The sequence below is a fragment of the Homo sapiens genome, chromosome 17 (genome assembly GCF_000001405.40).
Source record: "Homo sapiens chromosome 17, GRCh38.p14 Primary Assembly".
Classification (NCBI taxonomy): Eukaryota; Metazoa; Chordata; class Mammalia; order Primates; family Hominidae; genus Homo; species Homo sapiens.
In genome coordinates, this window is record NC_000017.11 from 81,629,149 (window position 1) to 81,649,098 (window position 19,950).

Below are 19,950 nucleotides of genomic sequence, written 5' to 3' on the forward strand. Positions count from 1 at the left end.
ATTACAGGCGTCAGCCACTGCGCCTGGCCACTCTTATGAAATACTTTTTTTTTTTTTTTTTTGAGATGGAGTCTCACTCTGTTGCCCAGGTTGGAGTGCAGTGGCACCACCTCGACTCACTGTAAACTCTGCCTTCTGAGTCAAGCAATTCTCTTGCCTCAGCTTCCCAAGTAGCTGGGATTACAGGCACCTACCACCACGCCCGACTAATTTTTGTATTTTTAGTAGACGGGGTTTCACCATCTTGGCCAGGCTGGTCTTGAACTCCTCACTTCGTGATCCACCCGCCTTGGTCTCCCGAAGTGCTGGGATTACAGGTGTGAGCCACCACGCCCAGCCGTGAAATATTTTTACACTTACCTTTGGGCTCTTGGTCCTATAATTTTGAGCAGTGATCAGCTGTGACAAACATCTCATCCTATAGCAATCCAACCCAACTGTGATAGAGAAAGGCAATGCAAGAGGCAATTTGGGAATAGGGAAAATAAGAAAACGAGGAAAAGAGAAAAGGTATCGATGGCAGTAAGAGTAGAGGATGAAAAATATCCTGAGGGTCAATACCCAGGCCACAGATACCTTTTTCAAAAATGTTGCTGCTGTTTCTCTCTTTGTTGCTGTGATCCGCTTCACTCCATCCGGGGACTGGACACGAATTATCTGTTGCAAACAAAACATGATGGTTACTGCACAGCCTAGTGAGGTCCTGATCTAATACTACGGCTTCCATCTGTGGTCTTTTAGCATCTGGGTCACTGAAAATTAAAGCCAAACCTCACTCTTCACCTTTCAATACCCAGCTCAATCCTTCTAGAATATGATGCCGAGGGGTGAGATTCATCAACATATGGGGAGATATTTTAAGAGTACTGTCCTCTCAACTCTTAGTTTCACTCAGAAAACAACTTTAATTCCTAATCACTATTTATAGAGTATATGTAAAACACTTTTTGTCTCTTCAGACTTAAAACAGAGAAAAACCCACCATGAACCATGAATGAACTGTGTTCTTTAAAAAAGATGTTACTTTGGGGAAAAAAAAAAAAAAAAGATGTTACTTTGTTCCAGGATCTATATACAAACATTAGACAGTCTTCAAGAGTCCTACAATTTAAAAGAATCACAGGAAATTTTCTAATTGTTACTTTTTTTTTGCTTTTTTGAGACAGGGTCTTGCTGTCACCCAGGCTGGAGTGCAGTGGCAAAATCACAGCTTACTGCAGCCTTGACATCCAAGGTTCAAGTGATCCTCTGACCTCAGCCTCCCGAGAGCTGGAACCACAGGCTTGCACCACCACACCAGGTTAATTTTTTTTTTTGTAGTGACGGAGTGTCATATTTCCCAGGCTGATCTCGAGCTCCGGGGCTCAAGTGATCCTGCCACTGTGCTGGGATTACAGGTGTGAGCCACAACGCCAGCTATTACTTACTTTCCCTAAAAAACGTTTAAAAATGGCCAGACACAGTGGCTCACGTCTGTAATTGTAGCACTTTGGGAGGCCAAGGCGGTGGATCACTTGAGCTCAGAAGTTCAAGACCAGTGGGCAACATGGGGAAACCCCATCTCTACTAAAAATACAAGTTAGCCAGGCATGGTGGCGTACGCCTATGGTCTCAGCTACTTGGGGAGCTGAGGCACGAGGATCACTTAAACCAGGGAGGTCGAGGCTACAGTGAGCCAAGATGGTGCCACTGCACTCCAGCATTGGTGACAAAGTGAGACCCTGTCTCAAAAAAAGAGATTAGGCTGGGCACAGTGGCTCCTGCCTGTAATCCCAGCACTTTGGGAGGCCAATGCGGGCAGATCACCTGAGGTCAGGAGTTCGAGACCAGCCTGGCCAACATGGTGAAACCCCGTCTCTACTAAAAATACAAAAATTAGCTGGGCGTGGTGGCGGGCACCTGTAATCCCAGCTACCCGGGAGGCTGAGGCAGGAGAATCGCTTGAACCCAGGAGGCAGAGGTTGCAGTGAGCCAAGATCGTGCCATTGCGTGACGAAGAGCAAGACTTCGTCTCAAAAAAAAAGTAAAAATTTAAACTTAAAAAAGAAATTAAAATTAAAAGCAATAAAGGTCTTTAATGGTAAAATTTAGTAGGGTTTTGAAAAAATATTTTCAGCTGGGCACAGTGGCTCACACCTATAATCTGTGCACTTCAGGAGACCAAGGCAGGAAGATCTCTTTAGCCTAGGAATTCGAGATCAGCCTGGCCAACACAGCGAGACCCCATCCTAATTTAATAACGTGTGTGTGCATATATGCATATTAAAGTGTACATATATATATATATATTTTTTTTTTTTTTTTTTTTTTTTTTCCCCCACGGCAAGCCTAAAAAGGTTGGCAGATCTGGAAGACTACTGGACAAAGGGCATTACTTTCTAAGACAACTTGATGTTTATGCTGATGAAAGCCATCGTGAAGGTGAGTTATCATGCCTGGCCAACAGCACAGGCCCCTGCTTTAGACAAGGAGGATGACATGGCATGCTCTGCAGCAAACAAAGACCTGCTCCAACCATCCGCGGGACGGGAAGGAAGGCAGACAGGAACATGCGCATAAGTGTCCTAGCTTCTCCTCTCAGCAAAGACTGATGGTGCATTCTATAGCTTCTTTCTCTCTCATTTCCTGCATTACCATCTCTTGTATTTAGCTCATTTTTTTTTTCCCCGAGATGAAGTTTCAATCTTGTGGCCCAGGCTGGAGTACAATGGCGCAATCTTGGCTCACTGCAACCTCTGCCTCTTGAGTTCAAGTGATTCTCCTGCCTCAGCCTCCTGAGTAGCTGGAATCACAGGCGCCCACCACCATACCCAGCTAATTTTCTTTTTTTTGAGACAGTCTTTTTCCGTTGCCCAGGGTGGAGTGCAGTGGCGCAATCTCGGCTCACTGCAACCTCCACTCACTGCAACCTCCGCCTCCCAGGTTCAGGCGATTCTCCTGTCTCAGCCTCCTGAGCAGCTGGGATTACAGGCGTGCACCACCAAGCCCAGCTAATTTTTGTATTTTTAGTAGAGACGGGGTTTCAACATGTTAGTCAATCTGGTCTTAAACGCCTACCTCAGGTGATCCACCTGCCTCAGCCTCCTAAAGTGCTGGGATTATAGGCATGAGCCACCAACCCTGGCCTAGCTGATTTTTTATAGTGAAACATTTCAATTCCCTTATTTCCTTTTTTATTTCTTTTTTTTTTTTCAGCTCTTGTTGCCCAGGCTGGAGTGCAATGGCGTGATCTCGGCTCACTGCAACCTCTGCCTCCCCGGTTCAAGTGATTCTCCTGTCTCAGCCTCCTGAGTATCTGGGATTACAAGTGCCTGCCACCACGCCTGGCTAATTTTTAGTATTTTTAGTAGAGATGGGATTTCACCACGTTGGCCAGGCTGGTCTCGAACTCCTGACCTCAAGTTATCCACCCACCTGGGCCTCCCAAAGTGCTGGGATTACAGGTGTGCACCACCACACCCGGCCTCCCTTATTTCCTTTTTCATAAATTCTATAACTATTTTCTGTGAGGTTACCACGAGTGTTACATTAAACATCCTCTTCAACCATTATGCAGATGAAAACTGTCACAAGCCATTGTCTAAAAAAGATTTCCACTGATACAGGACAAAACACCATAAAGGCTCAGTCTACTGGGATTTGTCCGCTTTTAGTAAAGTAACTAAGCCTAATCTAGATTTTCCTAAAATAGGATAACCCTGTCCTGCATTTTCCCATAACTTTCACTTGGCAGAAAAGGCTCCACCCAATATGTTCTCAACTTTTAAGTCAGGAGATTGAGACCATCCTGGCTAACACGGTGAAACCCCATCTCTACTAAAAATACAAAACATTAGCCAGGCGTGGTGGAGGGCGCCTGTAGTCCCAGCTACTTGGGAGGCTGAGGTAGGAGAATGGCGTGAACCCAGGAGGCAGAGCTTGTGGTGAGCAGATCGCGCCACTGCACTCCAGCCTGGGTGACAGAGCAAGACTCCGTCTCAAAAAAAAAAAAAAAAAGAAAAGAAATACAATTCTTTATACTTCTAACGTCTAGTATACTTCATTCTAGATTCAATACCCCAGAAAAACGTTTTCACAATATATAGCATTAGGTAAATACTTCCACTTATTTGTTTCTAAAATCTGTCTGCCAACACTTAGCTATCTTAAAAAGGAAAGCTCTGTTCTAATGAAGGGGAACATGTGAATGTTCCTTCAAACGATGACTCTGGAACAAGAGCATGTTACCGCCATTCTTTACAGAGCTAAATGGTTCAGGCTGCAGAATTCTAAGGTGAAGAAGTCATCCTACTTGATCCTCTACCACAGAAGATGGGAGTCCAGGTTTCCAAGGCCAACTCCAGTATTTAACAAGAGACAAACATAATTTGTACGATGGAAAGTTCTGGCCTAGCCTCTGACACAGACTACAAAATGAAATACACAGGAAGAGACAGACCTGACAACATGAACACACAGCCTCTTGGTAACTTAAGTTTCCCTATTTATAAGAAAATAAGACTAGAACGCTTCTTGGGGAAGTTGAAGAACTGGTGAGATACAGTTAAATCCACAGAAACTCTTTTCTCCCCCCAAGACAGAGTCTTGCTCTGTCACCCAGAGTGGGAGTGCGATGGCGCGACCTCGGTTCACTGCAACCTTTGCCTGCCGAGTTCAAGCAATTCTCTTGCCTCAAGCCTCCCAAGTAGCTGGGATTATAGGCGCCCGCCACCGCGCCCAGCTAATTTTTTTTTTTTTTTTAAGAGTCTCACTCTGTCACCCAGGCTGGAGTGCAGTGGTGCGATCTCGGCTCACTGCAATCTCCGCCTCCCGGGTTCTAACTTTTCTGCCTCAGCCTCCTGAGTGGCTGGGACTACAGGTGCACGCCACCACGCCCGGTTAATTTTTTGTATTTTTTTTTTTTAGTAGACGTGGGGTTTCACCGTGTTGCCCAGGCTGGTCTCAAACTCCTGAGCTCAGGCAATCCACCTGCCTCGGCCTTCCAAAGTGCTAGGATTACAAACGTGAGCCACCACGCCCTAATTTTTGTATTTTTAGTAAAGACGTGGTTTCACCATGTCGGCCAGGCTGGTCTCAACTCCTGACCTCATTATTCACCTGCCTCGGCCTCTCAAAGTGCTGGGATTACAGGTGTGAGCCACCATGCCCAGCCCAGAAACTTTTCAAAAGATCTCTTTCTTAAATTCAAAATAACTTTTTAAATCAATTTCAAAAGAAGAGTGTTTTAATTCCTCACAATCTGAGACATTCAACGAGATCCAATGCTGTCAATGAGAGCCTAGCCTTATACACTAGTGGGAAAAAAAAAATGGCCTTGTCTGAAACACTTTTCACTTGTCAATGGTTATTTTAACTCAGTTAAAAGTACAAAGGTAGTTTGAAAGAAGGTTTCAGTGCTAATTCCTAACCTATTTCTAGGCAAAGTCACCAATGATTAACACTTTTTTTTTTTTTTTTGAGACAGTCTTGCTCTGTCGCCCAGGCTGGAGTGCAGTGGCGCAATCTGGGCTCACTGCAACCTCCACCTCCCGGGTTTGAGCGATTCCCCTCCCTCAACCTCCAGAGTAGCTGGGATAACAGGTGCATGCCACCACACCCGGCTAATTTTTTATTTTTAGTAGAGACAGGGTTTCACCATGTTGGTCAGGCCAGTCTTGAACTCCTGACCTCGTGATCCGCCCACCTCGGCCTCCCAAAGTGCTGGGATTACAGGCGTGAGCCACTGCATGGCCACATTTTATTTTTCAAAGGAGTCAAAGGTTTCTTGGCCGGGCATGGTAGCTCAGGACTGTAATCCTAGCAATTTTGGGACCCCAAGGTAGGAGGATCCCTCGAGCTCAGAGACCAGCCTGTACAACATAGTAGAGACCTCATCTCTATAAAAAAATGTTTTTAATTAAAAAGATTTAAAGGCCAGGCGCGGTGGCTTATGCCTGTAATCCCAGCATTTTGGTATGCCAAGGCGGGCGGATCACGAGGTCAGAAGTTCGAGATCAACCTGGCCAACACGGTGAAACCCCATCACCACTAAAAATAAAAAAGACATCAGCCATGCGTGTTGGCGAGCACCTGCAACCCCAGCTACTCGGCTGAGGCAGGAGAATTTCTTGAACCCGAGAGGCGGAGGTTGCAGTAAGCAGAGATCGCACCACTGAACTCCAGCCTGGGCGACAGAGTGAGACTCCATCTCAAAAAAATAAAATAAGGTTAAAAAAAAAAAAAAAAAAGGAGTCGACGTTTCCTAAGTTTCTCCTGGGCCATATATTCATTCCACTCATCTCCAGGTTGGGAAACATGGAGGCACCAAGAGGGCCCCTGACTGGAGAGATGATGGAACCACCAGAGAACAGCCTTGCAAATAAGTGCTAGGTTCTCCTGGAGACCCATTTGTTTGTGTGTGTGAGACAGTCTCATTCTGTCGCCCAGGGTGGAGTCCAGTGACGCCACCTAGGCTCACTATGTTGTCCAGGCTGGTCTTGAACTCCTGACCTCAGGTGATCCACCCACCTGGGCTTCCCAAAGTGCTGGGATTACAGGTGTGAGTCACCGCGCCGGGCCTGGAGACCTATTCTAGACAACACCTGGCAAAACTGCAGAGACTGTCACAATGCTACAGTATGAACATTACTCTTCACCCAATACTGCTAAGCTTCCCCCAGAAATCCCAAATCTTCCTTAATATTAACCAAAATGCTCCTGTCCAATGGTCAGTTAGTTTTTTTCCCATCACATTTACTTTTGGGAAGAAACTTCTCACAACTTAACGAGGGACTGGTTTTCTGATTTGTCACTGATATTTTTTACGTTAAGGAGGAGTGTGTGACAATTTTTTTTTTTTTTTTGAGACGCAGTCTCGCTCTATAGCCCAGGCTGGAGTGCCATGGAGGGATCTCAGCTCACTGTAACCTCCACCTCCCGCGTTCAAGCAATTCTCCTGCCTCAGCCTCCCAAGTATCTGGGATTACAGTGCGCCATGACGCCCGGCTAATTTTTTGTATTTTTAGTAGAGACAAGATTTTGCCATGTTGGCCAGGATGGTCTCGAACTCCTGACCCCAGGTGATCCACCCGCCTCGGCCTCCCAAAGTGCTGACATCACAGGCGTGAGCCACTGCGCCGGGCCGACAATTTCAATTTCAGGTAAAAAGTGAAATCAACATCATTTACAACATTCCTTTTAAAGAGGAATTGTCAAGTTGTCCTTCCAAGTAAGGAGCAAAGCCGGCAAGTTACTGTGTTTTCATTTTCCCAGGTCTTCTGGTGGGGAGGGAGCTCTGTAACGTCCCCGTCTGCAGAGCTGCTCTCCTTAGTGACTCATGACAAGGCACTTGCTGGGAAGCGGGAGAGCAGGAGGAGAGAATCAGAGGGAGATTAGGATAAGAGGTGTCCCTGGCTCTGAGAGGGGCAGGACTGGCTGGGAGTCCCTGGAATTAGACCAGGAAGTCTCCTGGAGCCGGGAAACGGGTGGGGAAGGAGGGCGGTTTCTCTTCGCCACAGTCCATTCTCCCTGCTTAGAAAGGCTCGGCCTTTCCCTGCCCAGGGCGGGGAACCGGGGTCGTAAGTCCCCTGGGGAGGGACACGGACGGGAAGCAGCCGAGGGGGGTGAAAGTCCCCGAGAGGGGCCCAGCCACTACAGAGAAAGCCCTGGCGAGAGAAGAGAAAGGGGCCGAGTCGCGGCGCCGGCAGGCCCGCCTCCCCCACAGGCCGAGGCCGGCAAATCTGCTGCCTCATCCCGGCGTCCCCGCTCCCGCCCGGCCGCCGCACTCACGATGCTCTCGGCCATGGCGGCTGCTCCTGCCTCCGGGCTCGAGCCCCGGGCCGCCGCCGCCTGCCGCCCCAAGGGCCTCGCAGACCCGGCCGCGGCCTCAGCCCCGGCCCCGGCCTCCCTACGCCGCCGCCACCGCCGCTCCAGCTTCGCCCGCCCGGCTCCGCCAGCCGCCGACGTCCCGGTGCCTCGCTCAATACGCTCCCCTCGGGCGCGAGGCCGGGAAACCAGGTTCCGGCCCCACCAACGGCTCGACGCATGCGCAGGGCGGCGCCGCTGACCCGCCCCCGCCATCCCTGCAACTGGAGGAGGGGATTTTGGAAAGTTGCGTCTGAGATTACTTCTGCTCGTCCTCGGAAACCCAAGCGGCACAGGAAAGTCCAAAAAGGAAGCAAAGACGAGCATCCGAAGTCTCACCCAAAAATAACTACTGCTGCGTATTATAGCGTATTATAATTGGGGAAACAGCATTCCAAACTTCTCTCCATGCACAGGTAAGTAGAGAAACAATTTCAGGAAGGCAGGATCACACCTTCATGTTTTTTTTTTTAAGTATTTTTTAAATTTAACATAAGAAAAACAAACGAGTTTAAACTGCATTTCAGGCCGGGCGCGGTGGCTCATACCTGTAATCCCAGCATTTTGGGAAGCCAAGGTGGACGGATCACCTGAGGTCAAAAGTTCGAGACCAGCCTGGCCAAAATGGTGAAACCCCGTCTCTACTCAAAATACAAAATTAGGCCATACGCGGTGGCTCACGCCTGTAATCCCAGCACTTTGGGAGGCCGAGGCAGGTGGATCACCTGAGGTCAGGAGTTCAAGACCAGCCTGACCAACGTGGTGAAACCCCGTCTCTACTAAAAATACAAAAATTAACTGGGCGTGGTGGCGGGCACCTGTAATCCCAGCTACTCGGGAGTCTGAGGCCGGAGAATCTCTTGAAGCGAAGAGGCGGAGGTTAGAATGAACTGAGTTGGTGCCACTGCACTCCAGTCTGGGCGACAGAGTGAGACTTCATCTCAAAAAAAAAAAAAAAAGACGTCACTTCACAGATTCTAAGGATTTTTGGAGTTGGATACCAGGAAACCGGAAGACTAAATGTATACATATTTCACAACATCACAATTACTGTGACAGTTTTTTTAAACTATGTTAAATTACATTAATTGATTAAATTATGTTAGTAATTGTATTAGTTTGCTCAGGGTGCCACTGTAACTACCCAACATATTGTCCCTGCCCACTGCCTAGACTTTATCAAGACAGGGGAATTGCAATAAAGAGTTTAATTCACACAGAGCCAGCTTGTACAGGTTACTGAGGTTTTATTACTACTCAAAAAAAATTAGTGTCCTTGAGAATTCAGGGATCAGAGTTTTTTGTTTTTTGTTTTTTTTTGTTTTTGAGTCCGAATCTCACTCTGTCACCCACACTGGAGTGCAGTGGCGCGATCTCGGCTCACTGCAACCTTCACCTCCTGGGTTCCAGTGATTCTCCTGCCTCAGCCTCCCGGGTAGCTGGGACTACAGGCGCACACTACCATGCCTGGCTAATTTTGTATTTTTCGTAGAGACGGAGTTTCTCCATGTTGGTCAGGCTGGTCTTGAACTCCTGACCTCAGGTGATCCGCCCACCTGGGCCTCCCCAAAGTGCTGGGACTATAGACGTGAGCCACCGTGCCCGGCTGGGGATCCGCGGTTTTAAGGATAATTTGGTGGGTATGGGGTCAGAAAGTAGGGAGTGTTGATTGGTTGGGTCAGAGGTGAAATGATAGGGAGTCAAAACTGTCCTCTTGTGCTGAGTCGGTTCCTGGGTGGGGGCCACAAGATATGAGCCAGTTTATCAATCTGGGTGGTGCCAGCTGATCCATGGAGTGCAGAGTCTGCAAAATATCTCAAGCGCTGATCTGTTTTTTAATAGTGATGTTATCCTGAGAAGCAATTTGGGAGGTTTAGAATCTTGTAGCCTCCAGCTACATGACTCCTAAACCATAATTTCTAATCTTATGGCTAATTTGTTAGTCCTGAAAAGGCAGTCTTGTCCCCAGGTAGGAAGGGAGTTTGTTTTGCAAAGGGCTGTTACCATCTTTGTTTCAAAGCTAAACTATAAACTAAGCGCCTCCCGAAGTTATTTCAGCCTACACCCAGGAATGAACAAGGACAGCTTGGAGGTTAGAAGCAAGATGGGTTCAGTTAAGTCCGATCTCTTTAACTGTAATAATTATCTCAGTTATAAGAAAATATAACATAACAAAATCTCTCACAGACTGGGTGGTGGTTTGGAATTACTTTTCTTTTTTTTTTTTTTTTTTTTTGAGTCGGATCTCCCTCTGTCGCCCAGGTTGGAGTGCAATGGCGCGATCCCAGCTCACTGCAACCTCCGCCTCGTGGGTTCAAGCGATTCTCCTGCCTCAGCCTCCTGAGTAGCTGAGATTACAAGCGTGCGCTACCACGCCCGGCTAATTTTTATATCTTTAGTAGAGACAGGGTTTCACCATGTTGGTAAGGCTGGTCTCGATCTCCTGACCTCGTGATCCACCCGCCTCAGCCTCCCAAAGTGCTGGGATTATAGGCATGAGCCACCATGCCCGGCCTGGAATTACTTCCTAACAGTCCTGGAAGCTAGAATCCCAGATCAAGGTGTCAGTAGACGTGGTTTCTCCTTTGTTTTCTTCTTTTTTTTTTCTTTTAAGGCTGGGGTCTTGGCCGGGCGCGGTGGCTCACGCCTGTCATCCCAGCGCGGTGGCTCACGCCTGTCATCCCAGCACGGTGGCTCATGCCTGTCATCCCAGCGCGGTGGCTCACGCCTGTCATCCCAGCACTTTGAGAGGCCGAGGCAGGTGGATCACGAAGTCAGGAGATCGAGACCATCCTGGCTAATATGGTGAAACCCTGTCTCTATTAAAAATAAAAAAAAAATTAGCCGGGCGTGGTGGCGGGTGCCTGTAGTCCCAGCTACTCGGGAGGCTGAGGCAGGAGAATGGCGTGAACCCGGGAGGCAGAGCTTGCAGTGAGCCGAGATCACGCCACTGCGCTCCAGCCTGGGCGACAGAGCAAGACTCCGTCTCAAAAAAAAAAAAAAAAGAAAAGACTGGGGTCTCACTCCCATCGCCGAGGCTGGAGTGCAGTGGCACAATCGTGGCTCACTGTAGCCTCGACTTCCCAGGCTCAGGTGATACTCCCACCTCAGCCTCCTCAGTAGCTGGGACCACAAGTGCTCACAATCACACCTGGCTAACTTTTTGTATTTTTAGTAGAGATGGGATCTTGCTATGTTGCCCAGGCTGGTCTCTAACTACTACTAGGTTCAATCAATCCACCCACCTCAGCCTCCCAAAGTGCTTAGATTACAGGCATAAGCCGCTGTACCCAGCCAGGTTTCTTCTTATACCTCTCTCCTTAGCTCGAAGATGGCACCTTCTCCCCGAGACCTCACATGTTTTTTCTTCTGTGCACACATTCCTCGTGTCTCTCCATGTGTCCCACCGTGTGTCCCAATTTTCTTGTAAGGATGTTGGATTAGGGCCCACGCTAATGGCACTTATTTATTTATTTAGGGATGGAGTCTTGCTCTGTCACCAGGCTGGAGTGCAGCGGCACCATCTCGGCTCACTGCAACCTCTGCCTCCTGGGTCCCAGCAATTCCCCTGCCTCAGCCTCCCATGTAGCTGGGATTACAGGCATGCGCCACGATGCCCAGCTAATTTTTTGTACTTTTAGTAGAGACAGGGTCACACCATGTTGGCCAGGCTGGTCTCAATCTCCTGACCTCATGATCCACCTGCCTCGGCCTCCCTAAGTGCTGGAATTACAGGTGTGAGCTACCGCGCCCAGCCCCTAATGGCCTTTAAAGGCCCTGTCTCCAAGTCCCATTCTGAGGTCCGGGGGGCTAGAACTTTATCATAAGAATGTAAGGGGCACAATTCAGCCATAACAGTGGTAGATGATGATCGTTTCATTAAAAGATTACCCAGACTTTGGCCGGGCGTGGTGGCTCACGCCTGTAATCCCAGCACTTTGGGAGGAGGAGGCGGGCAGATCACTTGAGGTCAGGAGGTCGAGACCAGACTGGCCAACATGGTGAAACCCCATCTCTACTAAAAATACAAAATCAGTCAGGTGTGGCGCCTGCAATCCTAGTTACTCAGGAGGCCAAGGCAGGAGCATCGCTTGAACCCAGGAGGCAGAGGTTGCGGTGAGTCAAAATCGTGCCACTGCATTCCAGCCTCAGCAACAGAGCGAGACTCTTGTCTCAAAAAAAAAAAGGTTACCCATCCTTAGAACAGACTGAGTTGGAGGCCGTGGACAGTCCCTGTGACCGTGACCCTGGCTGTGGAGCTGCTGCAGGGCCCATGAGGTTGGGTTTGTCACCTTTGGGGAGGTGAAGGGAAGCTGGAGCCCAGAAGCTCAGCCTGCAGCTCTGGTCCTCGCCCCGACTTCCCACCTGCAGCATATCCCACTTCTCCGAGGAAGATCTGAAGACTCAGAGTGGCCTTCAAGGCCTCACCTGATCCAGCCCTGTCACCTCATGGACCTCCCTCCCACCCCCATCTCCGCTTGCCCCACACAGCCAGGTGACCTTTCCTCCTAAAACTTGCCCGGTGTGCTCCCACCCAGGCGTCTCACGCGCGCCTGAAACCCTCTGCCTGCTCCATCAGTACATTGCCTGCTGTGCTGCACCACCCAGACCACCTCTTTGGACTGCTGAGTGTTGGTGGCTGAGTCCGGGCACAGTGGCTCCAGCCTGTAATCCCAGCACTTTGGAAGGCCAAGGCAGGAGAATCACTTGAGTCCAGGGGTTCAAGACCAGCCTGGGCAGCACAGCAGAACCCTGTCTCTACAAAAAAAATTCAAAAATGAGTGAGGCAAGGTGGCGTACATCTGTAGTCCCGGGAGGCGAGGTTGCAGTGAGCCGAGATTGCGCCATTGCACTCCAGCCTGGGCAACAAGAGCGAAACTCAGTCTCAAAAACAAAAACAAGGAGGTGATCTGGTGGGGGGACGCTGTTTCATTCGTGCAGTGAACAAGCCGGGGGATAGATTGGCGCTGGGGCTGCCCATGGGTCTCTTGGGATTGGGGTTGTGAACCAATTTACCAGGGTCTGATTCCCTGGTTGGGAGCTGATGGAGCGGCTGCTGACCCTGCAGAGCTGAAGTCCGCATGGGGGGCTGCAGTGAGAGCCACAAGGCTGGCACCCAAACATGCCTGCCTGAGTCACACCTGCGCTGAGCTTAGGGGACCCACAGAGCCAGGGCTGGGGAGAAATATATCTCCACAAGCAGAGGCCTCCTTAAGCTCTAAAATGTGATTCTTCACATGACTCAACTGTGACTCCGGCATCTGGGTAGGGCTCGCACCTCCCCCATTCCCATGCCCAGGGCTGCACTGTTCACAGACTAGCCCAGGGCCGCAGTCAGGACCAGCCCAGCAGCCCAGCCACAGAGGAGCCAGCGAACCTCTCCCGGCGCCTGTGCTGGGGGCTTTCTGTTCCAGCGTCAAGGATGGAGGAGGGGGAGAGGAGCCCCTTACTGTCCCAGGTGAGCCATGCCAAGTGGCCTTGCCCTGAGGTTGGAGATGTCCCCAGCCCTGAAGTCCTAAGGGAAGTCCCTGGGCTGGGTTCACACCCACCCCTGCCCCTGGTGCCACCCCACACCTCAATGCTGAGATTGGGTTGAGGGGGGTGGTTCTAGGCAGCCCCCTCCCCCTTCCCCACTGCGCAGTTCTCTCAGCCCCATGCTGGCCTCTGGTCAAGGGATCTGCCAGATCTCCCTGAGGGCCTTGGGGGCAATCTTTGGCTCAGGGTGCAGGAGGGGGTGAAGGCAAATGTCCCTTGCAGCCAGCCTCCAACGGCCTCTGGCCCCCAGTGGCCCCAGTCTGGCCAACCAGGCACTGACAGCCTGTCCTTTTGCTTCTAGTGACTTGTTGAGGTCTTGGGGGTGATAAATAACCCTCCTCTGGGGCCGGGCACAGTGGCTCACTCCTGTAATCCCAGCACTTTGGGAGGCTGAGGAGGGAAGATTGCGTGAGCCCAGGAGTTCAAGACCAGCCTGGGCAATGTAGCGAGACCCTGTCTCTACAAAATATTATATATATATATATATATATATATATTTAGATAGAGTCTCGCTCTGTCACCAGGCTGGAGTGCAGTGGCACAACCTCGGCTCACTGCAACCTCCGCCTCCTCGGTTCAAGCAATTCACATGCCTCAGCCTGCTGAGTAGCTGGGATTACAGGCACATGCCACCACACCCAGCTAATTTTTTTTAGTCGAGACAGGGTTTTACCATGTTGGCTAGGATGGTCTCGATCTCCTGACCTCGTGATCCACCCGCCTCGGCCTCCCAAAGTGCTGGGATTACAGGCATGAGCCACCGTGCCCGGCCTACAAAAAATAATTTTAAAAAATTACCGGGACGGCCGGGCGCGGTGGCTCACGCCTGTAATCCCAGCACTTTGGGAGGCCGAGGCGGGCGGATCACGAGGTTAGGAGATCGAGACCATCCCGGCTAAAACGGTGAAACCCTGTCTCTACTAAAAATACAAAAAATTAGCCGGGCGTAGTGGCGGGCGCCTGTAGTCCCAGCTACTTGGGAGGCTGAGGCAGGAGAATGGCGTGAACCCGGGAGGCGGAGCTTGCAGTGAGCCGAGATCCCGCCACTGCACTCCAGCCTGGGCGACAGAGCGAGACTCCGTCTCAAAAAAAAAAAAAAAAAAAAAAAATTACCAGGACATGGTTGCAGTGCCTGTAGTCCCAGCTACTCAGGAGGCTGAGGAGGAAGGATGGCTTGAGCCCAGGAGTTTGAGGCTGCAGTGAGCTGAGAGCCTGATGCTGTGATCAGCTTCTTCCTGGTGAAACTGGATTGGAATGGGATCCTTGCCCAGCACACAGCCATGGCTGCTTTTTATTATTTATTTAGTTTTTGAGATGGAGTCTCGCTCTGTCACCCAGGCTGGAGTGCAGTCACGCGATCTCTGCTCATGCAACCTCTGCCTCCTGCTCATGCAACCTCCACCTCCTGGGTTCAAGCGATTCTCCTGCCTCAGCCTCCCAAGTAGCTGGGATTACAGGTGTGTGCCACCACGCCCGGCTAATTTTTTTTTTTTTTTTTTTTTTAGTAGAGATGAGGTTTCTCCACGTTGCTCAGGCTGGTCTCGAATTCCCGACCTCAGGTGATCCACCCACCTCAGCCTCCCAAAGTGCTGGGATGACAGGCGTGAGCCACAACGTCCAGCCCGGCCATAGCTTCTTATTCTCCTTTTTAAAAAAACTCTTCCCGGCAGAACTGGGCACCTGCGGGGCTGCCTCTTCCCCCACAGAGAGAGACCAGCAAGCCTTTCCTGCCAGTGGGCCAGGGGGTCCCCTCTGAAGGCCCTGCAGCCTCCAGGCGGTCTTCCTGGGCTCTTGGGCACCCTCCTCCCTGTCCTGGGAGCCTGTTGGGCAGGGCACTGTCCTGTCCTCGGCAGCAGGGTCCAGTGCCGTGTCCACACTCAGTGCGGGCCGTTGGTGGGGCCGAAGAATGGGTGCTGGGATGTGAGGACTGGTTTCAGAGGGGAAAGAAAAGGGCAGCCATGTGGGCCAGCCCCTGTGGCTGGTGAGGAAGCCCCTCTACACAAGTTCCATGCTGCAGGCACACACAGACTGATCCACGCAGATGCTGTTTCAAACTCTGGGGACGCAGCCCCGCCTGTGTGCTGCGGGAAAGCCAGGGCGACCCTGACCCGGGGAGGCCGCAGACACCCACGCATAGGACCAGGAGGGAGTGGGTGTGTTCACTGAGCACCGCCCTGCTTGGTCTTCACCACAGCCTTTCAGAGTCTGCTCATCACCCTGTTCTAAAGGTGGGGTCCCACCAGAGCTGGGACCCTCACTGCCCCTTCTGCTGCTCAGCCGAGCGGGACGGCCCTGAGGGCCCCCTGCCCCTGGCTGTCCGCATCTCTGAGCTCCAGTGCTGCCCTCCGCCATCCGGCATCCTCCCATCCCTCGAAGGCTCTGCCACCATGCTCTTCCCTGACCCCTCACCAGTTGTCACAGAGTCTGGGTGAATGCGGTCTCACCCTGTTCCTCTTCCCTCTGCAGGAAACTGCAGGCCAGAAGCCCCTCTCTGTGCACAGGCCACCCACCTCAGGCTGCCTAGGTCCAGTGCCCAGGGAGGACCAGGCGGAGGCCTGGGGCTGCAGCTGCTGTCCCCCGGAGACCAAGCACCAGGCCTTGAGTGGCACCCCCAAGAAAGGACCAGCCCCTTCCCTCTCCCCAGGGAGCAGCTGCGTCAAGTATCTGATCTTCCTCTCCAACTTCCCCTTCTCCCTGCTGGGGCTGCTGGCCCTGGCCATCGGGCTCTGGGGCCTGGCTGTCAAGGGGTCTCTGGGAAGTGATCTGGGGGGGCCCCTGCCCGCAGACCCCATGCTGGGGCTGGCACTGGGAGGGCTGGTGGTCAGCGCAGTGAGCCTGGCTGGCTACCTGGGCGCCCTCTGTGAGAACACCTGCCTGTTACGTGGCTTCTCTGGGGGCATCCTTGCCTTCCTGGTGCTTGAGGCCGTGGCGGGGGCCCTGGTGGTGGCCCTCTGGGGCCCGCTGCAAGACAGCCTGGAGCACACCCTGCGTGTGGCCATCGCCCACTACCAGGACGACCCAGACCTGCGCTTCCTCCTCGACCAAGTCCAGCTCGGGCTGAGGTGCTGCGGAGCTGCCTCCTACCAGGACTGGCAGCAGAACCTGTGAGTCTTGGAGTGGGCGAGGGACAGGGCCACCACAGGGTCGCAGAGGCCACACACCCTTGTGCGTGTACACACAGTCACTCACACGTACATACTCATTCGTGCATGCCCACATGCATGCACACGTATACCCACATGTACACGCATATCCACACTGGCACGTCTCGTGCTCACAGGTTTCACGTGTGTGGACACACACCTACACACTCCTCTACACTGACATGAACATGTTCTTGTGCACACACAAAACAGCCTCACACTCAGGCACACACTCACACTCAAACATGTTCATACACACACGTGTCATGCACACAAGGTATAGGGGTGCTTGCCTCTCCTTGTTCTATGGGCTCAGGGCCCCAATCAGCCCTGCGGCCCCCAGAACGTGCAGGGTGACTCTGTTCCCCCCGCCAGGGCCAGGAGGACTACCCAGGAGCTTAGTTGAGAAGCTGAGCCCACAAACTTAGAAAGTCATTTTTCTGCTGGGCACGATGGCTCACACCTGTAATCCCAGCACTTTGGGAGGCTGAGGTAGGCGGATCACCTGAAGTCAGGAGTTCAAGACCAGCCTGGCCAACATGGTGAAACCCCATCTCTACTAAAAATACAAAAATTAGCCAGGCATGGTGGCAGGCACCTGTAATCCCAGCTACTCAGGAGGCCGAGGCAGGAGAATGACTTGAATCCAGGAGGTGGAGGTTGCAGCCAAAACAGCACCACTGCATTCCAGCATGGGCAACAGAGCGAGCATCCATCTCAAAGAAAAAAGGCCGGGCGCGGTAGCTCACGCCTGTAATCCTAGCACTTTGGGAGGCCGAGGCGGGCGGATCACGAGGTCAGGAGATCAAGACCATTCTGGCTAACACGATGAAACCCCGTCTCTACTAAAAAATAGAAAAAATTAGCTGGGTGTGGTGGCGGGCGCCTATAGTCCCAGCTACTCAGGAGGCTGAGGCAGGAGAATGGCGTGAACCCAGGAGGCGGAGCTTGCAGTGAGCCGAGATCGCCCCACTGCACTCCAGCCTGGGCGATGGAGGGAGACTCTGTCTCAAAAAAAAAAAAGAAAAGAAAATGACTTTTAGGTGAATTCAGGACATTATTCTGGAATCTGACTCCACAGTTTCCCTCCACCGTGAGTGTCATTAAACGCCGTGCATTTAGGATCCAGTGCAGGATTTTCTTATATTCTGCTCAAGGGTAGCTGTCTTTTTGTTGGTTTGTTTGTTTGTTTTTTTGAGACGGAGTCTCCCTCTCGCCCAGGCTGGAGTGCAGTGGCTCGATCTCGGCTCACTGTAAAGAGGGTAGCTGTCTGTTTTATCAGCTATCCCCAGTGCATGCACACCCCAAGCAGCACCTACTCTCCATGCCACACCCAGGACAGACGATATGCACTCTGTCTCCCAAGCCTTCTTGGTGCATGTATCCAGGAGCAGCTGAACACAAGAGATGAAGTCATAGGCAACCCTGAAAACTGGCCATTGGGACCCAGCAGTGGCTAACAGGCGGGTCCTTCCAGACTCTGCAAAGCACCACATAGGTTGGTTTTTGGCCACGTGTGACTGGGTTGGTGGCAGTCCCCCTAGAGTGTCGTGATGCCACGTCTGCTGCTGGCCTCGTCCCCATCCCCTGCCTAAGTGGGGCATACTCTTCTAGAGTGGAGAGGGCATGGGGATGAGCCTGCAGGTCTGCTGGGCCCGTGTGCAGAGCCCCAGACATCAGTGGATGCCTAGGGCACCTGGGGACTGCCTGACCTGGGCTGTGATGAGATCAACACTCCCTAGCTACCCTGGGAGCTCCTCCCCCACCCCTGCTTTCTGTCACTGCCAGGTACTGCCTCTCAAGCCCTTGCTCTTCCCAGTAAGACCTGTGGACCATTCCAGAAGCCTCTGCCAGAGTTCCATCCACCCTCCCCTGCTCCAACTCTACCTTCTCAATGAGCTCAGCAGCCTCTGCGGAGGGAGGTCCTCTTATCAATGCTTGTCTGTTCCCCCTTCAACCGTCTCACTAAATATCCTCCTGCTAGTCAACACAGCCACCACCCCTACCTGCAAGCGCAGAGGACTGCCGTGCACAGGGATACGTTATAGAGAGCCAGGTGCTGTGTGTGTCCGTGTGTGCAGGTGTGTGCGAATAGGAGGGCGTATGCACGTGTGTGCATGTGCCTGTGTGGCCATGGAAGGGTGAAGGTGGGTAGGCGACATTCGCCTCTGTGCCTGGTCCCAGAAGAGCGGGCCCTCCCCGCCAGAACTGACGATTCCATGCGCCTTGCAGGTACTTTAACTGCAGCTCCCCCGGGGTGCAGGCCTGCAGCCTTCCCGCCTCCTGCTGCATCGACCCCCGCGAAGATGGAGCCTCTGTCAACGACCAGTGCGGCTTCGGGGTCCTGCGCCTGGATGCGGACGCAGCTCAGAGAGTGGTGTACCTGGAGGGCTGCGGCCCGCCGCTCCGGCGGTGGCTGCGCGCGAACCTGGCTGCCTCGGGCGGCTACGCAATCGCGGTGGTGCTGCTGCAGGGCGCGGAGCTCCTGCTGGCCGCCCGGCTACTCGGGGCCCTCGCTGCCCGCAGGGGGGCGGCGTACGGCCCCGGAGCGCGCGGGGAGGACCGCGCTGGCCCCCAGAGCCCCAGCCCCGGCGCCCCGCCCGCTGCCAAGCCCGCCCGGGGCTGAGCGCACGCCCCGAGGTCCGAGACCGCCACGCACAGGGATACAGGGGGCGCCTCCGCCCGGCTAAAAAGCGCGGCCTGCGCCGCCGCCGCCGCCTGATTTCGCTCGGGCTTCGGGTGACTTCGCCGCAGGACCTACCCAGCTCGCTCACTTCGCTCGCTCCGCGTCCCCCATGCCAGCCCCCAACGCAGGGCGCCCGGCGAAGCCACGGGACTGGCGGGAGGAGCACGCGGGGCCGGAGGAAATCCTGAAGCTGACCCTCACCTCCGAGCCCCCACTCCCACCCCAGCCGCACAGTTCCCACCTCCTGGCACCTCCCTCCCCTGGGGCCGCCACCCCTTCTGGGCTCGTGATGGTGGAGCTAAGGTCCAGGCCTCTCCCTCCCGAGTGCATTTTTGGGGAGATAGTAAATGTTTTATTCGGGTGTATCATTCATACAGTAAAGACACCAATCTTCAGAGGCAGCGTAGGGAATTCTTACCCATCGAAGACCGTGAACCACCGCAGGTCCGATCGGGGAGTTCCAGCCCCTGGCGGCGCGCTCAACCCCAAGTCAGCCCTGCACTGACTACATTGCCAGGGCCAGCGGGGCCTGTTTCGGGCTTTCACATAAGCGGAATCCCAGAGGGTCTGTGGGGAGTCAGATCTGGCCCTTGCTGCGAATGGACTGGTCCATGTGAACAGGGGGCTACTGTGAGGGCCCCTGCTGCTGGGCCAGCTTGCAGAGCTCTTGCTTCCCCTGGATGTGGTGTCAGGAGTGGGATCTTGGTTACAAATGGGCATGTTTGTTTTTGTTGTTTTCTTTTG

General features: G+C 52.7%; 2 protein-coding genes across 12 annotated transcripts in view, besides 1 other annotated feature; one reads left to right on the top strand and one right to left on the bottom strand.

Annotated features, from left to right (window-relative positions):
• The window catches only part of NPLOC4 (NPL4 homolog, ubiquitin recognition factor), an 80,228-nt gene extending 72,264 nt beyond the window's left edge, over window positions 1-7,964 (bottom strand). For all 8 annotated transcript variants that reach the window (XM_011524980.2, NM_017921.4, NM_001438810.1 and 5 more), the window contains exons 1-2: window positions 7,768-7,964; window positions 577-657 (exon numbers count right to left, since the gene is read on the bottom strand). In XM_011524980.2, the coding sequence (XP_011523282.1) occupies window positions 577-657; window positions 7,768-7,782 (96 nt within the window). In that variant the 5' untranslated portion in view covers window positions 7,783-7,964. The remainder of the gene's footprint in view (window positions 1-576; window positions 658-7,767) is intronic.
• Window positions 7,694-7,903: a silencer, noted in NCBI's record as "silent region_9140". NCBI's record gives its function as "represses an Ori minimal core promoter by ATAC-STARR-seq in GM12878 lymphoblastoid cells {active_cell/tissue: GM12878}" and the evidence as "EXISTENCE:reporter gene assay evidence [ECO:0000049][PMID:35858748]".
• On the top strand, window positions 8,048-19,607 carry TSPAN10 (tetraspanin 10). 4 transcript variants are annotated; one of them, NM_031945.5, is made up of 4 exons: window positions 8,048-8,258; window positions 13,112-13,300; window positions 15,844-16,481; window positions 18,753-19,601. In NM_031945.5, exons 2-4 carry the CDS (start codon window positions 13,265-13,267, stop codon window positions 19,144-19,146), a joined length of 1,068 nt encoding a protein of 355 aa, NP_114151.3. In that variant the 5' UTR covers window positions 8,048-8,258; window positions 13,112-13,264; the 3' UTR covers window positions 19,147-19,601. The 4 variants fall into 4 exon arrangements, 3 of the variants coding, with proteins under 3 accessions (NP_114151.3, XP_047292843.1, NP_001277141.2); XM_047436887.1 differs by having other exon boundaries at window positions 13,142-13,300; NM_001290212.2 differs by having other exon boundaries at window positions 13,159-13,300.